This window comes from Homo sapiens, chromosome 21 (genome assembly GCF_000001405.40).
Source record: "Homo sapiens chromosome 21, GRCh38.p14 Primary Assembly".
NCBI lineage: Eukaryota > Metazoa > Chordata > Mammalia > Primates > Hominidae > Homo > Homo sapiens.
This window is the reverse complement of record NC_000021.9, coordinates 9,307,650-9,329,390: the sequence shown is the minus strand read 5'-3', so window position 1 is coordinate 9,329,390 and position 21,741 is coordinate 9,307,650. Positions and strand designations below refer to the sequence as shown.

General features: G+C 39.9%; 1 long non-coding RNA gene across 3 annotated transcripts in view; it reads right to left on the bottom strand.

Annotated features, from left to right (window-relative positions):
- The window catches only part of LOC101930100 (uncharacterized), a 44,165-nt gene extending 39,822 nt beyond the window's left edge, over positions 1-4,343 (bottom strand). For 2 of the 3 annotated variants that reach the window (NR_188301.1, NR_188303.1), the window contains exons 1-2: positions 4,168-4,343; positions 2,093-2,151 (exon numbers count right to left, since the gene is read on the bottom strand). This is a non-coding gene — a long non-coding RNA (uncharacterized LOC101930100). Of the gene's footprint in view, positions 1-2,092; positions 2,152-3,567; positions 3,787-4,167 lie in introns of all 3 variants that reach the window. The other variant, NR_188302.1, reaches the window with a different exon arrangement.
- Positions 4,344-21,741: the final 17,398 nt, after the last annotated feature.

Genomic DNA, 21,741 nt, shown 5'->3' with positions numbered 1-21,741 from the left:
ATAAATCCTAGAACAAACCAGGTTTTGTTTTTCTCCTGTAAACAGGATGTTCCAGCATAAGAAGATACCTTCTACTCAAGTCCTTGTTCCACCTTTTCAAATCTCACTGGTCTATTTCCCAGTGGGTTTCTAAACCAAGTAAGTACATTTGCAATGGTAATAGTGACACCAGTGACTGAAGTTTCGGCCAATCTCTCAAAATTGAGAAAATAACCAAAGGGAAGGCATTGTTAAAGTGAACTAAGTATGGCCTGAGAAGGACTCCATAATTCTATATATGAGTCCTTGTGGGTGAACTGCAACCTACCTTAATAGGTATACAAGAATGAAAAACTAACTTAAGAGTATGCACCTGGAACAACAGCTACATCTTGGCCAATCCCAATGGCCAAACTTCAACCACTCAGGCACTGCCAAATGTTCAAAATGTGTTCAAACAAGGCAAACGCTGAGTTGTTTCTGTACCTCACTTCCGATTTCGGTATGCCACTTCCCTTTTGTCTATAAATCTTCTTCCACCACATGACTGCACTGGAGTCTCTGTGAATCTGCTGTGATTCTGGGGACTGTCCGATTCATGAATCGTTTATTGCTAAATTAAACTCCTTTAAAGTTTTTCTTTTAACAGAACTAACACAGAAGAATTTCCAGATCATGAACAGACGTTTTGTAATACCCAACGTTGTATTAACATGAATAGACTCTTCCTTAGACAGCTAACCTTGTTTTTAATATGAATAGACTCTCCCTTAGCTGAGAAAACCAGACAAACTCCATTTGGCTCCTTCATTAACAAGACATCAAGGACTCCTTACCCACCCCCTTTCCTCAAGGACTTTAACTTGTGCAAGCTGATTTTCAACATATCAAAGCGTGCAAATAACTGATAAAGTGCTGAGACAAGAGATGTCCCCAGTTCCCAGCAATTTACTCAGAGATAGTATCATAAAGCCCCCACATTTGTCCGGCAGATAATGCCCAGAGCCCCCTCACCTATCACTTTGTGGTGAATTTAAAGACCCTACACCAGGAACAGTTTGTTTTCCTGTAACCATCTGTTTTTCTAAGTTTTTTGTCTGTTTTTTTCTTCTGTAAAGTTGTTGCAGCTAGAATCCCCCCTCCCCTCTCTAAACCAAAGTATAAAAGAAAATCTAGTCCCTTCTTCAGGGCCGAGAGAATTTCGTGCGTTAGCCATGTCTCAGTCGCTGGCTAGTAAAGGACTCCTGAATTCGTCTCAATGCGTGGCATTTCTCTCTAACTCACTCGGGTACGACAGTTTCAACTATGGTAGAAGACTCAAGTAAGGCAAATACAGTCCCCCTAAATTTGACTATTATTCAGGTTAATGGTGAGTTTAGAAGAAATAAGGCTACACAGAGTGGGCTAAAGTGCAAATAAACACTGGAAATATTTCCCAGAAAATATGACTTTGAACAGGCTGCTGCACACCCTGCATGTAGAGATAAACTAAGAAAAACGTGTGGAGAGTTATTTAAGGACCTATGGTTAACTCAGTCCTCAAGATGTTCCAGGTTTCATCCATGAATCAAGGAGGACCTCCCAAAGGCTGTTTGGGACCACACTCTTTGAGCAAGGAGCATACATTACGATGGAAGCTGTGCTTTAGCAGCAGATGACCATTTCCGCTGCACAACACGCCGTGCTTTAGCGGAAGATGACCGTTTCCACTGCACAACACTACAAGTGTTTACTGCCAGGCCGGTGTGAAATATGTTCCAGCACATAATCTATGTCACCAATGAAGGTGGTGGTTCAGACTTGGTGCACGCAAGCTTTCCTGTCCCACAAGAACACAGCATGCTCTCTTCTCGGGTTCCATTCCAATCACATAACAAACATGACTGCCTTTTTTGTCTCGGCATCAGAAAGATCAGAGGAAAATTTGCACTCAACTTAGACAACTCTAAGCTCTTATAACCTGCCTATATCTACAGGTCAGCTTTATCTTATTTATGTATATTTCCTTCAACCTGAGTTTTACTTATTTCTACTTTTCCTTTTTAATTCACAGACACCCATAAACTCAGAAAATACAGTGTAAAACAAAGTGAAGAACAAATAAACAACTCACCAGAGATTTATTCATTTCTTGTTGCTCTTGGAAACACCCAGAGGACACTGGAAACATAGCTGGGATAGAAGGCAAATGACGTGGATTAAGGAGAGAACTGGTGTGGTGTGGTCCCAGATTCTTCTGCCCAACACTCTAGACACATTACCTGGGAAAGCCCTCCTCCCTCCTGAAAAAGAAAAACTTCCCCAGGGGAGAAGAGTCCTTCACACCTCATTAGGGGCAGCAAAGACTCAAGTTAAGATAAGATACATCTACAAGTACATTAATTGGTAGACATTAGATGCACAATTTATTTTTGAATAAAAATATATATTACCTACTAATTTAGTAACAATATTATCTAAAGATATAATCTAATAATTTAATACAAAGAAACATTATAAGTTCACTAAAATAAATGTTATAGAAATATACTGGGCTGTATTAACTATTTTCCTATTAATATGTAGATTCCACAAATAACTTCATATGAGTGTTCCTATGACAGTACATCTTGCTTTTCTATACCTGAACATCATGGAAAGTGCATCTTGCAAACCAGCAATTTTGGCCTACAATTACGTTTTTTAAAATGTACATAATATGTATTTCCTGCAGTACACCATTCTACTCATGTTTCCCAATAACACCTTTCCTTCTATCCAAGCCCTCATATTATGCTCTGACAATAAATTGGGCTTTTCCATCTGACTTGTCCAGTGAATGGAAAATGGAAAATGTGATGCAAATATCCATTGGTTCTTTCCTTTTTGGGGGAAATTGTGAAGAAGTCTGGAGCTACCCTGTTGGAGACACAGGGCCTAGCCAAGAGTCACCACAAACCACCAGATTGTGAAGTAAACTATCTTAAACCAACCAGGCTCAGTCAAGGCACCAGGTGACTGAGGCCTTTTTGTGATCCAGGCAACACAAATATATTAACTACCCAGCTGAACCCACCACACCAAAGTGCAGATCCACAGAACTTCGAACAAATAAAATGGTGGTTGTTTTTTATAAGCCAGTAAGGTTTAATTAGTTCCTTAAACAGCAAGTATTAACTGTTACACCTAAGTGAACAGAATTCACTTCTGTGTTTTTAACAAAATTACGTAGGGGGAGAAAATGTTAAATTACAAATCAAATACAATCAATAGAACTTCGCAATCTAATGTTAAATTTGGGGATGGACTAGGTTTAATGTATCTCAGACGCTGGAAAAAACGAGCTAAGGTTGAAGGAATGGGACTGTGTTTGGAGAGTATTTTAATCCTCTCAAGTATGACAGGTCACTGCTGTACCCCAGACCACACTTTCAGGCCCCTTCAAATAAGGAATATTTCCTAAGTCCTTGCCTGTTCTTCTTAGCTGAATTCACCTCAACCTTCTGAAAGTTCGTCCAAACCTTCTACTATCACCTAGTCTTTGCAAATCTTGTGCATTCTAGGGAGTAGAATTAATATTTCCTGAGCAAGGAAAACTGGGATCTTCACCTGTGACCTTTTTTCCTCCTCTGAAGCACCAGTGAGAGGTTAGACCAGATGGCTGTTCTTTCAAGTGTGCTTCTTATTCATAGGGAACCCTCCCTTTCAAACTTTGTAACACACAGTTAAGACTGAAGTATCCTTAAGGCTGACGACCATCATCCATTAAGCCATCTCCCTCGCGGAATCAGTGAGTTCTTCCCTGGAAACTAGGTCTCGTATAAACTTCTGTAAATGCGACCCAGGAGGACTAGGCAGGTCACACAGTGAAGGAGGGAACCAGAAACTTCACTTGCTAAAGAGACACCAGGAAACCCAACTAATACAAACGCCAAGTTTAAGACTAGAGGCGCACGCGTTTCACACTACTCCTCTGGGAATGGGGAACGTCTCCCGAGAACTGTGTGTTACCACTGGGACAGATGGGCAAACTGAGCGTCATGCAGGTTGGTAACCGGGTCCCTCAGCGGCAGGACAGGAGCGCGGCCTGCAGACTCCGGGCCCAGGGCCACCGGCCTCTCCTACCTGCTCCTGCGCCTCTAGAACCCGTTTCACTGCCGGGACCCCACGCCTGTCCTCCCAGCCCCCGCCAGGGTCCACTGCCCGCACCTGCACTTCAGGCCCTGCCCGCCCGCAATGTGCCCACGCGTCTGCTCCCACAACTAGGGAACACTGGTCCGGCCCCCCGGGATCCCCTGAGGCCCACGGGTTCCTCTTCGCCCTTGCACCGACCCGCAGGGACATAGAACCAAGCCCCAAGCCGGCCCGGCTACAGGACGGCCTCTGGGTGCCGCACTTCCGGAGGAAAATGGCGGAGTGGGCCGGGCGGCGCAAGCGCAGAGAGAAAAGCTGGTTCCCAAGGTCCTTGATGGTAACATCATTGGAAGGTGACACTACAATTCCCATGAGGCTTTGCGGTACCCCGTTAGGAACCCAAGCCGGACATTCTGTTTTGCCCAGCAGTTGAGTCCAGTTACCCAGAGACCCGGAGTTAATGTATCAGGACTGGTCCCTACCCAGGTGACACAGATGTGGCATTCTGGTTCTTTATTAAATCCTGGTTTCACAGCCTGGGACATTGTGAAAATAATGGAGAAATTTCAATAGAGGCCAATTGGTCTATGCTATGAATAAGTTTTTTTTTTTTTTTTTTTTTTTTTTTTTTTTTTTTTTTTGAGAAGGAGTCTCACTCTGTCGCCCAGGCTGGAGTGCAATGGTGCGATCTCGGCTCACTGCAACCTCCGCTTCCCGGGTTCAAGCGATTCTCCTGCCTCAGCCTCCTAAGTACCTGGGATTACAGGCGCGTGCCACCACACTCGCCTAATTTTTGTATTTTTAGTAGAGACGGGTTTTCACCATGTTAGTCAGGCTGGTCTCCAACTCCTGACCTCGTTATCCGCCCTCCTCGGCCTCCCAAGGTGCTGGGATTACAAGCGTGAGCCACTGCGCCCAGCCCTCAAGTCTATTTTTTATAGATGCATTCGAAAGCATGAAAAAAATAATGTCTCTATTTTACTTTAAAAATTTTAAAACACAACTAATGAATATGGTAATTCTCTTCCAATCCGTTATCTTTTCTCTCACTAAACTAATTTGTGAGCCTTCAATTTACACTGTTAGAAAATATGCTCTAGTGCACATACTAGGATAAAATAACAGGGTCATAAGACAGGTGCACTCCATAATCTTTGTGACAACTTACACTTCCAGTGTCTGATAAATATTTGCCCGTAGACTCCCAGGTTTCATCCATCCATCCATCAATCAAATCTACCTATCTTTATTTATTTATTGTGAGAAAGACCTGAAATTTGCCTTTCCTTCCCTGATGTCTGCCACAAACTAGGCAAGGAGTTCTGCCTAGGGGTTTCTCAGAGCTCCGGCTACCACCGAGGTTCCTAACAGGGAAACGCAGGCTTGAATGCTCAGGGTTGATGTGGGAGTGCGTGTGAAACGGGGATGGGGTGAAAGGGCAGTGACGTTTGTAGGTGGGCAGATGGGGGTGTGATGGGCTTTCAGGTAAGAGGCACGCAGGAACCTGGGAGAGGCAGCGAAAGCACCTCACGCCTCAGATCACCAGAAGACGCTCCCACCAGTGCCATGACAGTTTGCCAATGCCATGTCATCACGAGAAGTCCCCACCCCTTGCCATGGAAACAGATGGAAGTTACTGCCCATTTCTAGCTATTTCTGAATAACCCGCCCCTTAATTAGCATGCCATTAAAAGTGAATTATAAAAATGACTACAAGCCACCCCTAGGCTGCTGCTCTGGGAGCACAACCCACGGAGGGCTCCCTGCCCTGCCGGAGTGGACGCAGTGCTGTAACACCGCCAATGCCTCCGTAGAGCTGCTTTCTTCCACCACAGGCTTGCTTTTGGATTTCTTCCTAAACGACGCCAAGAACCTGCCCTTCCTCAGTGTGACTCTTGCCTAAAACCTATCCCTGGTATTCTCTTTTCCTAAGCATGCCCTGACTTGTTCTTTCATCTCCTCTGATCTTGCAATTGGTCCTCAGTGACTCTATTCTGCAGATCCAGAAAACTCAACCTTAATCTTCCCAGAGCCCTGTTGTCTCCAATATTGGAATCTCTAGCCTTGTTTTCTCAGACGCCTAGATTACAGGCCTCTCTCTTGAACACCTATTGGTATGGTATCTGGGGATCCTTTAAATACATGATGATTGGCAGGGGTTAAATAGCGGAAATCAGTGCCTGACAATTCGCCTTCCAGGATATGGACTGTCATTCCCTCTCTTGGTGGGCCTCAGTCTCTTATCCATAAAAGTAGAGATTGTAATACTCATTTGAATTGCAGATACCTCAACCCGAACCCACCTAATATAATGTAAAAGCCAAGAATGCAACCCCTTTCCTCACCCCGTGAAGGTAAAGCCCTCAGAGCCAAGGAGAGAAGGCTCAGGGATGGTATCTGGGTGTTTCCAACGCTAACCATGTATTGTAGTTTTTAGTGTTCAAGTTTAAGCTTCCCCAGCTTTAATTCTATTGTAACAAGATTTATTTTTTTAATTCCATTTTTGGATTCTTGATTTATTGGTAAAGAAATACAGTTATTTTTGTATACCAATCTTATATAGTGTTACATTCTTAAGTTTGTTCATGAGTCCTAATACTTTTTAGTAAATTTCTTACGATTTTCTAAATGCAAGATCATGTCATCTGTACATAAAGATAACTGTACTTCTTCCTTTCCAATCTAGATGTTGTTTATTTATTTACATTGCCAACTTGTCCCAGCTACCACTGTTATCAAGTAAAAGGGTCTCACTGCCCAAAGCACAAGAAGCCGGTACCATGACACTGAGTTTTCGAGAAAAGAAAAAGTTTAAAGTCAAACCAAAACCTAGGGTACAGGCCGGGCGCACTCGGTGAAACCCCGTCTCTACTAAAAATACAAAAAACAAAAATTAGCCGGGCGTGAAGGCAGGCGCCTGTAGTCCCAGCTACTCGGGAGGCTGAGGCGGGAGAATGGTGTGAACCTGGGAGGCGGAGCTTGCAGTCAGCCGAGATCGCGTCACTGCACTCCAGCCTGGGCAACAGAACGAGACTCCATCTCAAAAAAAAAAAAAAAACAAAAAAAAAAAAAAAAAAAAAAAAAAAACCTATGGGATACAGTAAAAACAGTACTACAGTACTAAGAGGTAAGTTTATAGATAAAAGCACCTACATCAAAAAAAGTAGAAAAGCTTCAAATAAACAACCTAATAATGCATCTTAAATAATTAGAAAAGCAAGAGCAAGCCAAAACCAAAATTAGTAGAAGGAAACATAGCAAAGATCGGAGCAGAAATAAATGAAATTGAAATTTAAAAATATAAAATATCAATGAAATGAAAAGTTAATATTTTTAAAAGACCAACAAAATCAACAAACACTTAACCAGACTAAGAAAAAAGAGAGAAGATTCAAATACATAAAACCAGAGATTAAAAAGGAGACACTATAACTGATACTGTGGAAATTCAAAGAATCATTAGAAACTATTATGACCAACTATATTCCAATAAATTGAAAAACCTGGAAGAAATGGCTGGGCACCGTGGCTCATGCCTGTAATCCCAACACTTTGGGAAGCCAAGGCAGGTGATCACCTGAGGTCAGTAGTTCAAGACCAGCCTGGTCAACATGGTGAAACCCCATCTCTACTAAAAATACAAAAATTAGCCAGGCATGGTGGCATGCACCTGTACTTCCAGCTACTCTAGAGGCTGAGGCAGGAAAATCACTTGAACCTGGGAGGCAGAGGTTGCAGTGAGCTGAGATTGTACCACGCTGCAGTCTGGGTGAGAGAGCAAGATTCCATCTCAAAAAAAAAAAAAACCTAGAAGAAATGGATAAATGAAATTGAAGCCTTAATAAAACATGTCCTAGCAAAGAAAAGCCTGGATTCAATGGCTTCACTGGCTTCACTGATTAATTTTACCAAACATTGAAGGCAGAATTACTATCAATCCTACTCAAACTATTCAAAAAAAACAGAGAAGGCTGTAGTATTTCCAAACTCATCCTATGAAAAAGACCATTCATCATGTCTAAGTGGGATTTATCCCAAGGATGCCAACATGGTTCAATGTATGCAAATCAATCAATGTGACACATCATATCAACAGAATGAAGGACAAAAACCATATGATAATTTCAATTGATGCTGAAAAGCATTTAATAAAATTCAACATCCCTGTGATAAAAAGAAACCCTCAAAAAAAACTAGATATAGAAGGAACATACCACAACACAATGAAAACCATATGCAACAGACCCACAGCCAGTATCATCCTGGACAGGGAAAAGCTGAAAGCCTTTCTTCTAAGATCTGGAACAAGACAAGAATGTCCACTTCCAACACTGTTACTCAACATAGTACTGGAAGTCCTAGCTAGAGCAATTCAGACAAGAGAAAAACAATAAAAGGGATCCAAATTGGAAAGAAGTAAAATTATTACTGTTTCTTGTTTGCAGATGATTAGCTCTTATATTTGGAAAAACCTAAGGACTCCACCAAAAAACTATTAGAACTGATCAACAAATTCAGAGTCACAGCATACAAAATCAAACTACAAAAGTCAGTAGCATTTCTAAATGACAAAAATGAACAATCTAAAGAAGAAAATCAAGAATGTAATCCCATTTACAATAGCTACAAATAAAATAAAATAACTGGGAATAAACATAACAGAAGAAGTGAAAGATCTCTACAATGAAAACTATAAAACATAGATGCAAAAAAATTAAAGAGGACACCAAAAAAAAAATGGAAAGATAGTCCATGTTCATTTATTGGAAGAGTAAATATTGTTAAAATACCCATACTTCACAAAGCAATCTACAGATTCAATGCAATCCCTATTGAAATACTAATAACTTTCTTCACAGAAATAGAAAAAAAATCCTAAAATTTACATGAAACCATAAAAGACCCAGAATACCAAAAGCCATCCTGAGCAAAAAGAACAAAACTGGAAGAATCACATCACCTGACTTTAAATTATAGTACAGAGCAATTATAAACAAAACACCATGGTACTGGCATAAAACAGACACATAGACCAATGGAACAGAATAGAGAACCCAGAAATAAATCCATACATTTACAATTAACTCATTTTCAATGAAGGTGCCAAGAATATACATGGGGGAGAGGACAGTCTCTTCAACAAATTGTGCTGGGAAAACTAGATATTCATTGGCAGATTTTTTTTTTTTTTTGAGATGGAGTCTAGCTCTGTTGCTCAGGCTGGAGTGCAGTGGCGCGATCTGGGCTCACTGCAAGCTCCACCTCCCGGGTTCACACCATTCTCCTCCTCAGCCTCCCAAGTAGCTGGGAGTACAGGTGCCCACCACCACGCCTGGCTAATTTTTTTTTTGTACTTTTAGTAGTGACGGAGTTTCACCGTGTTAGCCAGGATGGTCTCGATCTCCTGCCCCCATGATCCGCCCACCTTGGCCTCCCAAAGTCATTGGCAGAATAGTTAAACTAGAACCCTCTCTTGCACTATATACAAAAATCAAATCCAAATGGGTTAAAGACTTAAATCAAAGACACGAAACTACTGAAAGAAAACATTAGGGAAACTCTCCAGGAAATTGGTCTTGGCACAGATTTCTTGAGTAATACTCCAAAAGCTCAGGCAACCAAAGCAAAAATGAACAAGTGGTATCACATCAAGTTCAAAAGTTTCTGCACAGTAAAGAAAACAATGGACAAAGTGAAAAGACAATCCACAGAATGGAAGAAAATATTTGCAAACTATATAACTGACAAGGGATTAATAACCAGAATATATAAGGAGCTCAAACAACTCTACAAGAAAAAAACTAACAATCCAATTATTTAAATAGGCAAAAGATCTGAACAGACAGTTCACAAAAGAAGGCACACAGGTCAGGCGCAGTGGCTGACACATGTAATTCCAGAACTTTGGGGAGCCAAGACGGGTGGGCCACTTGAGCCCAGGAGTTCAAGACCAACCTGAACAACATAGCAAATAATTTTAAAAACTACCTGGGCATGGTGATGCATGACTGTGGTCCCAGCTACTCAGGAGGCTGAGGTGGGAGGATTGCTTGAACCCTGGCAGTCAACACTACATTAAGCCATGATCATACCACTGCACTCCAGCCTGGGTGACAGAGTGAGACCCTGTCTCAAAAAATGAGCAAAAACAAAAAAGAACATATATAAATGTCAAATAGGTATATGAAAAGATGCTCAATATCATTTATCATGACAGAAATTGAAATCAAAACAACAAAAATATATCATCTTACCCCATTAAAATGGCTTTTATGCAAAAGACAGGCAATAACAAATGCTTTCAAGAATTTGGGGAAAAGGGAACACTCTTACTCTGTTGGTGGGAATGTAAATTAATATATTCACTATGGAGAACAATATGGAGGTCCCTCAAAAAATTAAAAATAGAACTATCATATGATCCAGCAATCCCACTGCTGGGTATATACCCAAGAGAGGGAAAATTAGTATATCAAAGAGATATCTGCATTCCCATATTTATTTCAGCACTATTCATAATAGCCAAGATTTGGAAGCAACCTAAGTGTGCATCAACAGATGAAGGGATAAAGAAAATGTAGTACATATACACAATGGAGTACTCTTCGGCCATGAAAAAGAATAAGATTCTGTCATTTGCAACAACATGGATGGAACTAGAGGACAATTATGTTAAGTACAATGAGCCAGGCACAGAAAGACAGACTTCGCATGTTCTCACTCATTTGTGGGAGCTAAAAATTAAAACAATTGAACTCATCAAGATAGAGAGTAGACTGAGAGTTTCCAGAGGCTGGGAAGAGTAGCGGTGTTATGGGATCTTTGGGGTGTTACTTTTCTGGACAGAAACCTCTATGACTGGTGGCACCTTTGCCTGAGTTTTGCTGGGCCCCGCACACTCAGCCTGGCAGGCTGTGCTCTGCTCATGCTACCACGTTGGATCCCATGCCTGCCAAGGGAGACTGCATGGAGTGGCAAGGGGTGTGTGAGTGAGCATGGGGTCTGGTCACTGTGCAGTCAGATTTGCTGGCTGCTGAAGTGGAGCAGGTAGCTCCAGGTGCCAACACGGGCGCCAGCTCTCCACAAGGCTGTGGCTGGACCACGGGCACCTCAAGAAGCTTCCACAGCTGGCACACTGGGAACACAGTGGCACCCAGAAGCTTGGAGATATCAGGAACCAAAGGCCCCAAAGAAGGAATCACAGCTCTGGCTCAGGGAGCTCCCAGGTCTGGGCTCCCCAAAGGGCCATAGCTCTTCTTTCCTTCTCTTTGCCCACAATGTGGCGAGCAAGGGGCATGTCTCAGCCCTGTTTGTGTTACAGCTCTTTCAGCCTCTTCCCTAGGATTTGTCATAATTAATTCCCATATCGTCTTATTTTTTTACACGTGTTTCAACTTCAGAAGATGTATGGATCTAAACACAACATGAAGTGTTAGCTAGCTGCCATATGAGTTTCTCCCTGTTTCACCACTATGTAGCCTAAAGTTATTCCGTCATCCATGACTATCCTGAATAAAGAGTCTGAAGATCTTTATTTGGTAGCTATGGCTTCAGCTAGTTCATTTGCTAAGTTACCTAGAGTGGTTGACAGATTTCTAATTATACGTTCATGAGAGGTTACTCCCCACCATTGCAAGAGATTTCTGCCAAACATAGGCCAAAATTCATCTCCTTGGTTTGCAGGTACGGTTTGTCTAATCCTGGAAAATAATTTCGATGAACTACTTCAGCGTTCAGAAACATTGGAGTTATAAATAGGAAGAGGAAGAGCCACATAACCTAATAGACAATTACCTCTCATATGCCAGCGGTCAACACATTCATAAGCCCATGTGTGCTTGATCCAGGGACCACACAGGGTCCCTGACGGATTCTGAAATTTAAGGCTTTGGTTTACTGGTAACAGAGACAGGTTAAAGTACATGTCTTCAGTCTTGAGTAGAGTGCAATCAGTCTGATTTCTTTTTTTTTTTAATGAGACAAACATCAGGTAAAGACCTTGACAAGAAGGAAGATAAATCCCGAGATTCTATAATCATAATAATCGAATTGTAATTGCTAGTTTAAGTAGTCCTATAAAAATACATCTCATTACTGACAGGATAAAACAAGTTTTTTAAAAATATATTTTATCTGGGTTCACTAGGGAACACTTGGAGCCAGGAAATAATTCAGGATTCAGCCCAAATTATAGGCAAATAATAAAAACTCGGAAAAGAATGATCAGGGCTGGAATCTAATAGCATATGTCACAGTTTTCATTTGAAACATGAATTTTCTCTCTCTAGTCCATCATTTTATCAAAGACAAACCATAGTAGGACAAATTTCTGTGCAAAATAAGTTTTAGTCTTATCATACCTGGTCTGATTATTTGCATAAAGTGCAGCAAGAATATTTATTGACCATATAGGCTTCTTAAAATTGGCTTTGTTGGAACTTTCTACTAAGGAATCTTAGACTTTTAAAAGCCTTGAGGCTAGCCAAGTCAAAGATTTGCATCATACTGTGTCTGTAATACTTTTTTTTAACCTACGTTTTTATTATACTTTAAGTTGTGGGGTACACGTGCAGAATGCTGAGGTTTGTTACATAGGTATACATGTGCTGTGGTGGTTTGCTGCACCCATCAACCCATCACCTATATTAGGTATTTGTCCTAATGCTATCCCTCCCCCCGCCCCCAACCCCCAACATGCCCCAGTGTGTGATGTTCCCCTCCCTGTGTGCTTGTGTTCTCGTTGTTCAACTCCCACTTATGAGTGAGAACATGTGGTGTTTTGTTTTCTATTCTTGTGTTAGTTTGCTGAGAATGAAGATTTCCAGCTTCATCCATGTCCCTACAAAGGACATGAACTCATCCTTTTTTATGGCTGCATAGTATTCCATGGTGTATATGTGCCACATTTTCTTTATCCAGTCTATAATTGATGGGCATTTGGGTTGGTTCTAAGTCTTTGTTATTGTGAACAGTCCTGCAATAAACATACGTGTGCATGTGTCTTTATGGTAGAATGATTTATAATCCTTTGGGTATATACCCAGTAATGGGATTGCTGGGCCAAATGGCATTTCTAGTTCTAGATCCTTGAGGAATAGCCACACTGTCTTCCACAATGGTTGAACTAATTTACACTCCCACCAACAGTGTAAAAGCAATCCTATTTCTCCACATCCTCTCCAGTATCTTTTGTTTCCTGACTTTTTAATGATTGCCATTCTAACTGGCATGAGATGGCATCTCATTGTGGTTTTGATTTGCATTTCTCTAATGACTAGTGATGATGAGCTTTTTTTCATATGTTTCTTGGTTGCATAATTGTCCTCTTTTAAGAAGTGTCTGTTCACATCCTTTGCCCACTTTTTGATGGGATTGTTCTTTCTTGTAAATTTGTTTAAGTTCTTTGTAGATTCTGGATATTAGGTCTTTGTCAGATGGATAGATTGCAAAAATTTTCTCCCATTTCGTAGGTTGCCCTTTCACTCTCATAGTTTCTTTTGCTGTCCAGAAACTCTTTAGTTTAATTAGGTCCCATTTGTCAATTTTGGTTTTTGTTGCCATTGTTTTTGGTGTTTTAGTCATGAAGTCTTTGCCCATGCCTATGTCCTGAATGGTATTGCCTAGGTTTTCCTCTAGGGTTTTTACGGCTTTAGGTATTAGGTTTAAGTCTTTAATTCATCTTGAGTTAATTTTTATATAAGGTGTAAGGAAGGGATCCAGTTTCAGCTTTCTGCCTAAGGCTAGCCAGTTTTCCCAACATCATTTATTAAATAGGGAATCCTTTCCTCAGTGCTTGTTTTTCTCAGGTTTGTCAAAGATCAGATGGTTGTAGATATGTGGTGTTATTTCTGAGGGTTCGGTTCTGTTCCTTTGATCTATATATCTGTTTTGGTACCAGTACCATGCTCTTTTGTTTATCATAGCCTTGTAGTATAGTTTGAAGTCAGGTAGCATGATGCTTGAAGCTTTGTTCTTTTTGCTTAGGATTGTCTTGGCTATTCGGGCTCTTTTTTGATTCCATATGGAATTTAAAATATATTTTTCCAATTCTGTGGAGAAAGTCAATAGAGTTTAATGGGGATAGCAGTGAATCTATAAATTACTTTGGGTAGTATGGCCATTTTCACGATATTGATTCTTCCTATTGATGAGCATGGAATGTTTTTCCATTTGTTTGTGTCCTCTCTTGTTTCCTTGAGGAGTGGTTTATAGTTCTCCTTGAAGAGGTCCTTCACATCCTTGTAAGTTGTATTCCTAGGTATTTCATTCTTGTTGTAACAATGGAGAATGGGAGTTCACTCATAGTTTGGCTCTCTGTTTGTCTGTTATTGGTGTATAAGAAAGCTTGTGATTTTTGCACATTAATTTTGTATCCTGAAACTTTGCTGAAGTTGCTTATCAGCTTAAGGAGATTTTGGGCTGAGACGATGGGGTTTTCTAAATATATAATCATGTCATCTGCAAACAGAGACAATTTGACTTCTTCTTTTCCTAATTGAACACCCTGTATTTCTTTCTCTTGCCTGATTACCCTGGCCAGAACTTCCAACACTATGTGGAATAGGAGTAGTGAGAGAGGGCATCCTTGTCTTGTGCTGATTTTCAAAGGGAATGCTTCCAGTTTTTGCACATTCAGTATGTTATTGGCTGTGGGTTTGCCATAAATAGCACTTAATATTTTGAGATATGTTCCATCAATACCAGTTTATTGAGAATTTTTAGCATGAAGGGCTGTTGAATTTTGTCAAAGGCCTTTTCAGCATCTATTGAGATAATCATGTAGTTTTTGTCATTGATTCCGTTTATGTGAGGGATTACATTTATTGATTTGCATGTTGAACTAGCCTTGCATCCCAGGGATGAAGCCAACTTGGTCATGGTGGACAAGCTTTTTGATGTGCTGCTGGATTCAGTTTTCCAGTATTTTATTCAGGATTTCTGCATTGATGTTCATCAGGCATATTGGCCTAAAATTTCCTTTTTTTGTTGTGTTGGCCTCATAAAATGAGTTAGGGAGGATTCTCTTTTTCTATTGTTTGGAATAGTTTCAGAAGGAATGGTACCAGCTCCTCTTTGTACCTCTGGTAGAATTTGGCTGTGAATCCGTCTGGTCCTGGACTTTTTTTGGTTGGTAGGCTATTGATTAATGCCTCAATTTCAGAACTTGTTATTGGTCTATTCAGGAATTTGACTTCTTCCTGGTTTAGTCTTTGTAGTATTCTCTGATGATAATTTGTATTTCTGTGGGATCAGTGGTGATATCCCCTTAATCATTTTTTATTGCATCTATTTGATTCTTCTGTCTTTTCTTCTTTATTAGTCTGGCTAGTGGTCTGTTTTGTTGATCTTTTCAAAAAACCAGCTCCTGGATTCATTGATGTTTTGAAGGGTTTTTCATGTCTCTATCTCATTCAATTCTGCTCTGATCTTATTTATGTCTTGTCATCTCCTAGCTTTTGAATTTGTTTGTTCTTTCTTCTCTAGTTCTTTTAATTTTGATGTTAAGGTGTCAATTTTAGATCTTTCCTGCTTTCTCTTGTGGGCATTTAGTGCTATAAATTTCCCTCTACACACTGCTTTAAATGTGTCCCAGAGATTCTGGTACGTTGTGTCTTTGTTCTCATTGGTTTTGAAGAACATCTTTATTTCTGCCTTCATTTCGTTATTTACCCAGTAGTCATTCAGGAGCAGGTTGCCCAGTTTCCATGTAGTTGTGAGGTTTTGAGTGAGTTTCTTAATCCTGCATACTAATTTGAATGCATTGTGGTCTGAGAGACTGTTTGTTATGATTTCCATTCTTTTGCATTTCCTGAGGAGTGTTTTACTTCCAATTATGTGGTCAATTTTAGAATAAGTACAATGCGGTGCTGAGAAGAAGGTACATTCTGTTGATTTGGGGTGGAGAGTTCTGTAGATATCTTTTAGGTCCACTTGGTCCAGAGCTGAGTTCAAGTCCTGGATATTCTTGTTAATTTTCTGTCTCATCTATCTAATATTGACAGTGGAGTGTTAAAGTCTCCCACTATTATTGTGTGGGAGCCTAAGTCTCTTTGTAGGTCTTTAAGAACTTGCTTTATGAATCTGAGTGCTCCTGTATTGGGTGCATATATGTCTAGGATAGTTAGCTCTTCTTGTTGCATTGATCCCTTTACCATTATGTAATGCCCTTCTTTGTCTCTTTTTATCTTTGTTGGCTTAAGATCTGTTTTATCAGAAACTAGGATTGCAACCCCTGCCTTTTGTTGCTTTCCACTTGCTTGGTAAATGTTTCTTCATCCCTTTATTTTGAGCCTATGTGTATGAGATGGGTCTCCTGAATACAACACATTGATGGGTCTTGATTCTTTATCCAATTTGCCAGACTGTGTCTTTCAACTGGGGACATTTAGCTCATTTACATTTAAGGTTAATATTGTTATGTGTGAATTTGATCCTGTCATTATGATACTAGCTGGTTATTTTGCTCATTAGTTGATGCAGTTTTTTCATTGTGTCAATGGTCTTTATAATTTGGTATGTTTTTGCAGTGGCTGTTACCAGTTGTTCCTTTCCGTGTTTAGTGCTTCCTTCAGGAACTCTTGTAAGGCAGTCCTGGTGGTGACAATATCTCTCAGCATTTGCTTGTAAAGGATTTTATTTCTCCTTCAATTATGAAGCTTAGTTTGGCTGGATATGAAATTCTGGTTTGAAAATTCTTTTCTTTAGGAATGTCGTATATTGGCCCCCACTCTCTTCTGGCTTGTAGGCTATCTGCCAAGAGATCCACTGTTAGTCTGATGGGCTTCCCTTTGTTGGTAACTCAACCTTTCTCTCTGGCTGCCCTTAATATTTTTTCCTTCATTTCAACCTTGGTGAATCTGATGATTTTGTGTCTTGGGGTTGCTCTTCTTGAGGAGTATCTTAGTGGTGTTCTCTGTATTTCCTGAATTTGAATGTTGGCCTGTCTTGCTAGGTTAGGGAAGTTCTCCTGAATAATATCCTTAAGAGTTTTTTCCAACTTGGTTCCATTCTTTCTGTCACTTTCAGGTACACCAATCAAACGTAGATTCAGACTTTTAACATAGTCCTCTATTTCTTGGAGGCTTTGTTCATTTCTTTTCACTCTTTTTTCTCTAATCTTGTCTTCTGGCTTTATTTCATTGAGTTGATCTTCAATCTCTGATATCCTTTCTCCTGATTGATTGATTCAGCTATTGATACTTGTGTATGCTTCATGAAGTTCTTGTGCTGGGTTTTTCAGCTCCATCAGGTCATTTATATTCTTCTCTAAACTGGTTATTCTAGTTAACAATTCATCTAACCTTTATTTTTCAGGCTCTTAGCTTCCTTGCATTGGGTTAGAACATGCTCCTTTAGCTCGGAGGAGTTTGTTATTACCCGCCTTCTGAAGCCTACTTCTGTCAATTCATCAAACTCACTGTCTGTCCAGTTTTGTTCCCTTGCTGGCGGGGAGTTGTGATCTTCTGGAGGAGAAGAGGCATTCTGACTTTTGGAGTTTTCAGCATTTTTGCACTGGTTTCTCCCCATCTTTGTGGATTTATTTACCTTTGGTCTTTGATGTTGGTGATGTCGATACTATTCCTTTCTGTTTGTTAGTTTTCCTTCTAACAGTCAGGTCCCTCTGCTGCAGGTTTGCTCGAGTTTGCTGGAGGTCCACTCCAGACCCTGTTTTCCTGGGTATCACCAGTGGAGGCTCAGTTGGAAATGCATGAACCACCTGACTTCTGTGTTGATCTCACTGGGTGCTGCAGGCCGGAGCTGTTCCTATTCAGACATCTTGCCAGCTCTCCTGTAATACTTTAATGAATGGGTGTAGTCTTCTCTTCTCAAGGTCCCCAAATATCTTGAGGTTCCTGGCCCATCAGAAAGTGACATTCTTTATTTCTTACCACAAGAATAGCAACTTTGTAAAGGACCTTTGTATACAGGACATCAAGCCAGTCATTCTAAGGGGCTTTGTATTGGTGCTATAAAGTCAACCTCAATTCCTTAAAGTGGTCTGGTTGTATCTGCCATTCGAGTTAAAGCCTTGATAAAACAAACAGTGTCTCCAATTGAATCTTGTTACCAAAAACAGATTCTTATTGAAATTATGCAAATAATTATATTGCCATAATTTAAGAATGCTCACGAATGGCTTCTGAATTCTGGAGAAATCAGCTAGAGAGACAGATAAATGGCTCAAATTTTTGTTCACAATGTAGTTTATCCAATGTATTGTAAATTAAAAATAGCTGAAAAGAAAAAAAATTATTGACTTTGGAAAACAAAACATAAAGAGGATCAACAATGTTTCTAATGGGAGGGCCATGGATAAAATCTTTTCCTTCTTTTATAAGTTCACTCCCATGTAACTAAATCTTGTTCTGCTTGATTTCAAATAGCAATTCTCATTCAGTTTTTTGTGTTTTGCTTGATTTCAATTAGAAATTCTCATTCAGCTTTTTAGAGTCCTGGAAGATTTTCCTAGTCCAATGGTTTGATCCCCAAAGTTATCTGAAACCATATTTAAGAGAACTTGTCAGAATCCTTTCCATTAAAAGTAATTTAGATGATAGCTGATTGTAAAGGCTTTTTTTTTGAGACACGGTCTGGCTCTATCACTCAGGATGGAGTGCAGTGGCATGATCTTGGTTCACTGCAATCTCTCCCTCCCAAACTCAAGCCATCCTCCTACCTCACCCTCCGAAGTAGCTGGGACCATAGGCATGCACCATCATGCCTGGCTAATTTTTGTATTTTTGTAGAGATGGGATTTTACCATATTGCCTAGGCTGCTTTCAAACTTCTTAGTTTAAGCAATTCACCCACCTCAGCCTTGCAAAGTGCTGGGATATTTACACGCATGAGCCTCCATGCCCTGCACCATGCCCAGCACCGTGCCCTGCATGGCCTCCAGCACCGTGCCCGGCCTGTAAAGGGTTTTAGAGAAGAACTTTAATCAATCACCGTGGATGACAAAAACTTAGAATAGCCGTTGGTTAAAATCCAGTGGAAGTTCTCAAATCTCGAGAAAATTTAGTTATTTGTATTATATGTAGCATTTTAAGATAACAGCCAGAATCATGACTGATGGCAACACATCAGATCCATCAGACTTCCAGAAATTTTATATAATCTTTAGAATATTTATATTAATAATATATCTATACACATACAACTTTAGAAAATATTTAACATCATCAAAATTATGACTGAAACCCTATTAGATTTTTATAATTTATATAACTTTTAAAATATTTATATTAATAACATACCTATAAATGTAACCAAAAGAAGATTTAAGCTGGGCACAGTGGCTCATGCCTGTAATCCCAACACTTTGGGAGGCCAAGTTGGACAGATCATCAGAGGTCAGGAGTTCGACACCTGCCTGGCCAACATGGAGAAATCTTGTCTCTACTAAAAATACAAAATTAGCCGGGTATGGTGGCACTTGTCTGTAGTCCCAGCTACTTGGGAGGTTGAGGCAGAAGAATTGCTTGAACCTTGGGGCAGAATTTGCAGTGAAACTAGATCATGCTACAACACTCCAGCCTGGGTGACAAAGCAAGATTCTGTCTCAGAGAAAAAAAAAAAGAAGATTTAGTGTTACTTATCTTTTGGCAATGCTTCCCATACAATGTTATCAACTAAGTTTTAGCAAAGATGTCAAAAAATTGAAAACATTTGACCAAAACGGAATGGTAGTTTATTGTTTTTTATTTTATTATTTTTTTGAGACAGGGTCTCACCCTGTTGCCCAGGCTGGAGTGCAGTGGTGAAATCATGGCTCACTGCAGCCTCAACCTCCCAGGCTCAGGTGATCCTCCACCTTAGTCTCCCAAGTAGCCAGGACTATGAGCACTTGCTACCACACCTAGCTAGCTTTTGTATTTTTAGTAGATATGGGGTTTTGCCATTTTGCCCAGGCTGGACTTGAACTCCTGGGCTCAAGTGATCCACCCACCTTGGCCTCCCAAAGGGCTGGAATTACAGACAAGAGCCGCTGCACACAGCCACATGTCATTTTTAAATAACATTCATTTAATTAACATGACAACCAAAAGACATCAAAAGCAACATAGAAGGTTACATGGATGTGAAAACTGAAAACCCTCAGTTTTCCCAAGTAATTAAAAAAACAATAAAGGCAACACATGGATTATCTTGATAAAACCTAAAATCTTTATTACAGGCCAGTCATTTAAAGGGTAAAAGCTCCTGTGGCATAACTGTGTCTTCTTATGGGAAGCTAATTTAAATCACTTGGAAGTCAAACCGATGACACGGAGACTTGAATTTAATTAGACATAGAAAGAGTGTGTCCAGGGTCATGAGTGAGCATAATATTACAGAGGAATGTAAACAGGAAAACCAGAGCATAGAGCAGTGGGGATCCATAGCTCACAATGATAGCATGGAAGTTTCCTGCTGTATCCTGGTTACATGAAGTAATTAAGACATATTTAAAAGCCAAGAGTACAAAATTAGACCTGATGAAAAAGCTGAAGGAGTTATCATCCCAGCCAAGCAGGAAACCCAAGCCTTTTATTCCTTCTCAAGAAGAAACAGAAGACAATGATGTGATCTGTGAGTCATGTGTAACATGAAAGTACAGGAAACGTTGAACTTCTGATATACAAATCTGAAAAGATTTTATAGTAACAGATATCAGGATTAAAAGTCAATATTTATTACCTCTTATTATGAGCAAATAAATGCATTAAGAAAACCTTGTTGTTTTAACCAAATTTTTTTGTTTTTTATCACTATGTTTTTAATATTACAGCTAATTTAAATAAACCTTATAAACAATCTATCTGATCTCAATCAGTTTTGACCTCGAGGTAAGATTTACATAAACTTTTAATAAGCTTGTATAATTTTTTCCATCTTTCCCAACTTTTTATACACATTTAGTTTTATCTATCTTTTTTATTCCTTCAATTTAAAATAATCCTTAAAAATCTCTAAGCGAATTTACTTTCTCTGAAACAAAAACCCGTATAGATTTTGCATACAGAATTGTTTCTCTTGTATCTAGTAGTCTTAATCACATATATCTACCAAGATATTAACACTTAGTAACCCTTATTTTAATAAAAAACTTAGGAAGAAAGAAATCTTGAATTGTCATATAGCAGTATCTTACATATGAGAATGATTTCATAATTTAGAATTATGTGTTCCTAAAACATATTTTTTAAGGTGGATTTTCGCTCTTGTTGCCCAGGCTGGAGTGCAATGGTGTGATCTCAGCTCACTGCAACCTCCGTCCCCCAGGTTCAAGCAATTCTCCTGCCTCAGCCTCTCGAGTAGCTGGGATTACAGGAACCCACCACCACACCTGGCTAATTTTTTGTATTTTTTAGTAGAGATGGGGTTTCACCATGTTGATCAGGCTGGTCTTGAGCTCCTGACCTCGGGTGAGCCACCCGCCTTGGCCTTCCAAAGTGTTGGGATTACAGGCATGAGCCATAGTGCCTGGGCTAAAACATAAGTTTTAAATTGGAAATAACCCAGATATTTAATGAGTATCTATTATTTAATTTAACATAACTAAAATTTCAAAAATAGGCTGGGCATGGTGGCTCACACCTGTAATCCCAACACTTTAGGAGGCCAAGGCAGGAGTATCGTGAGACCAGCCTGAGCAAATAGCGAGAT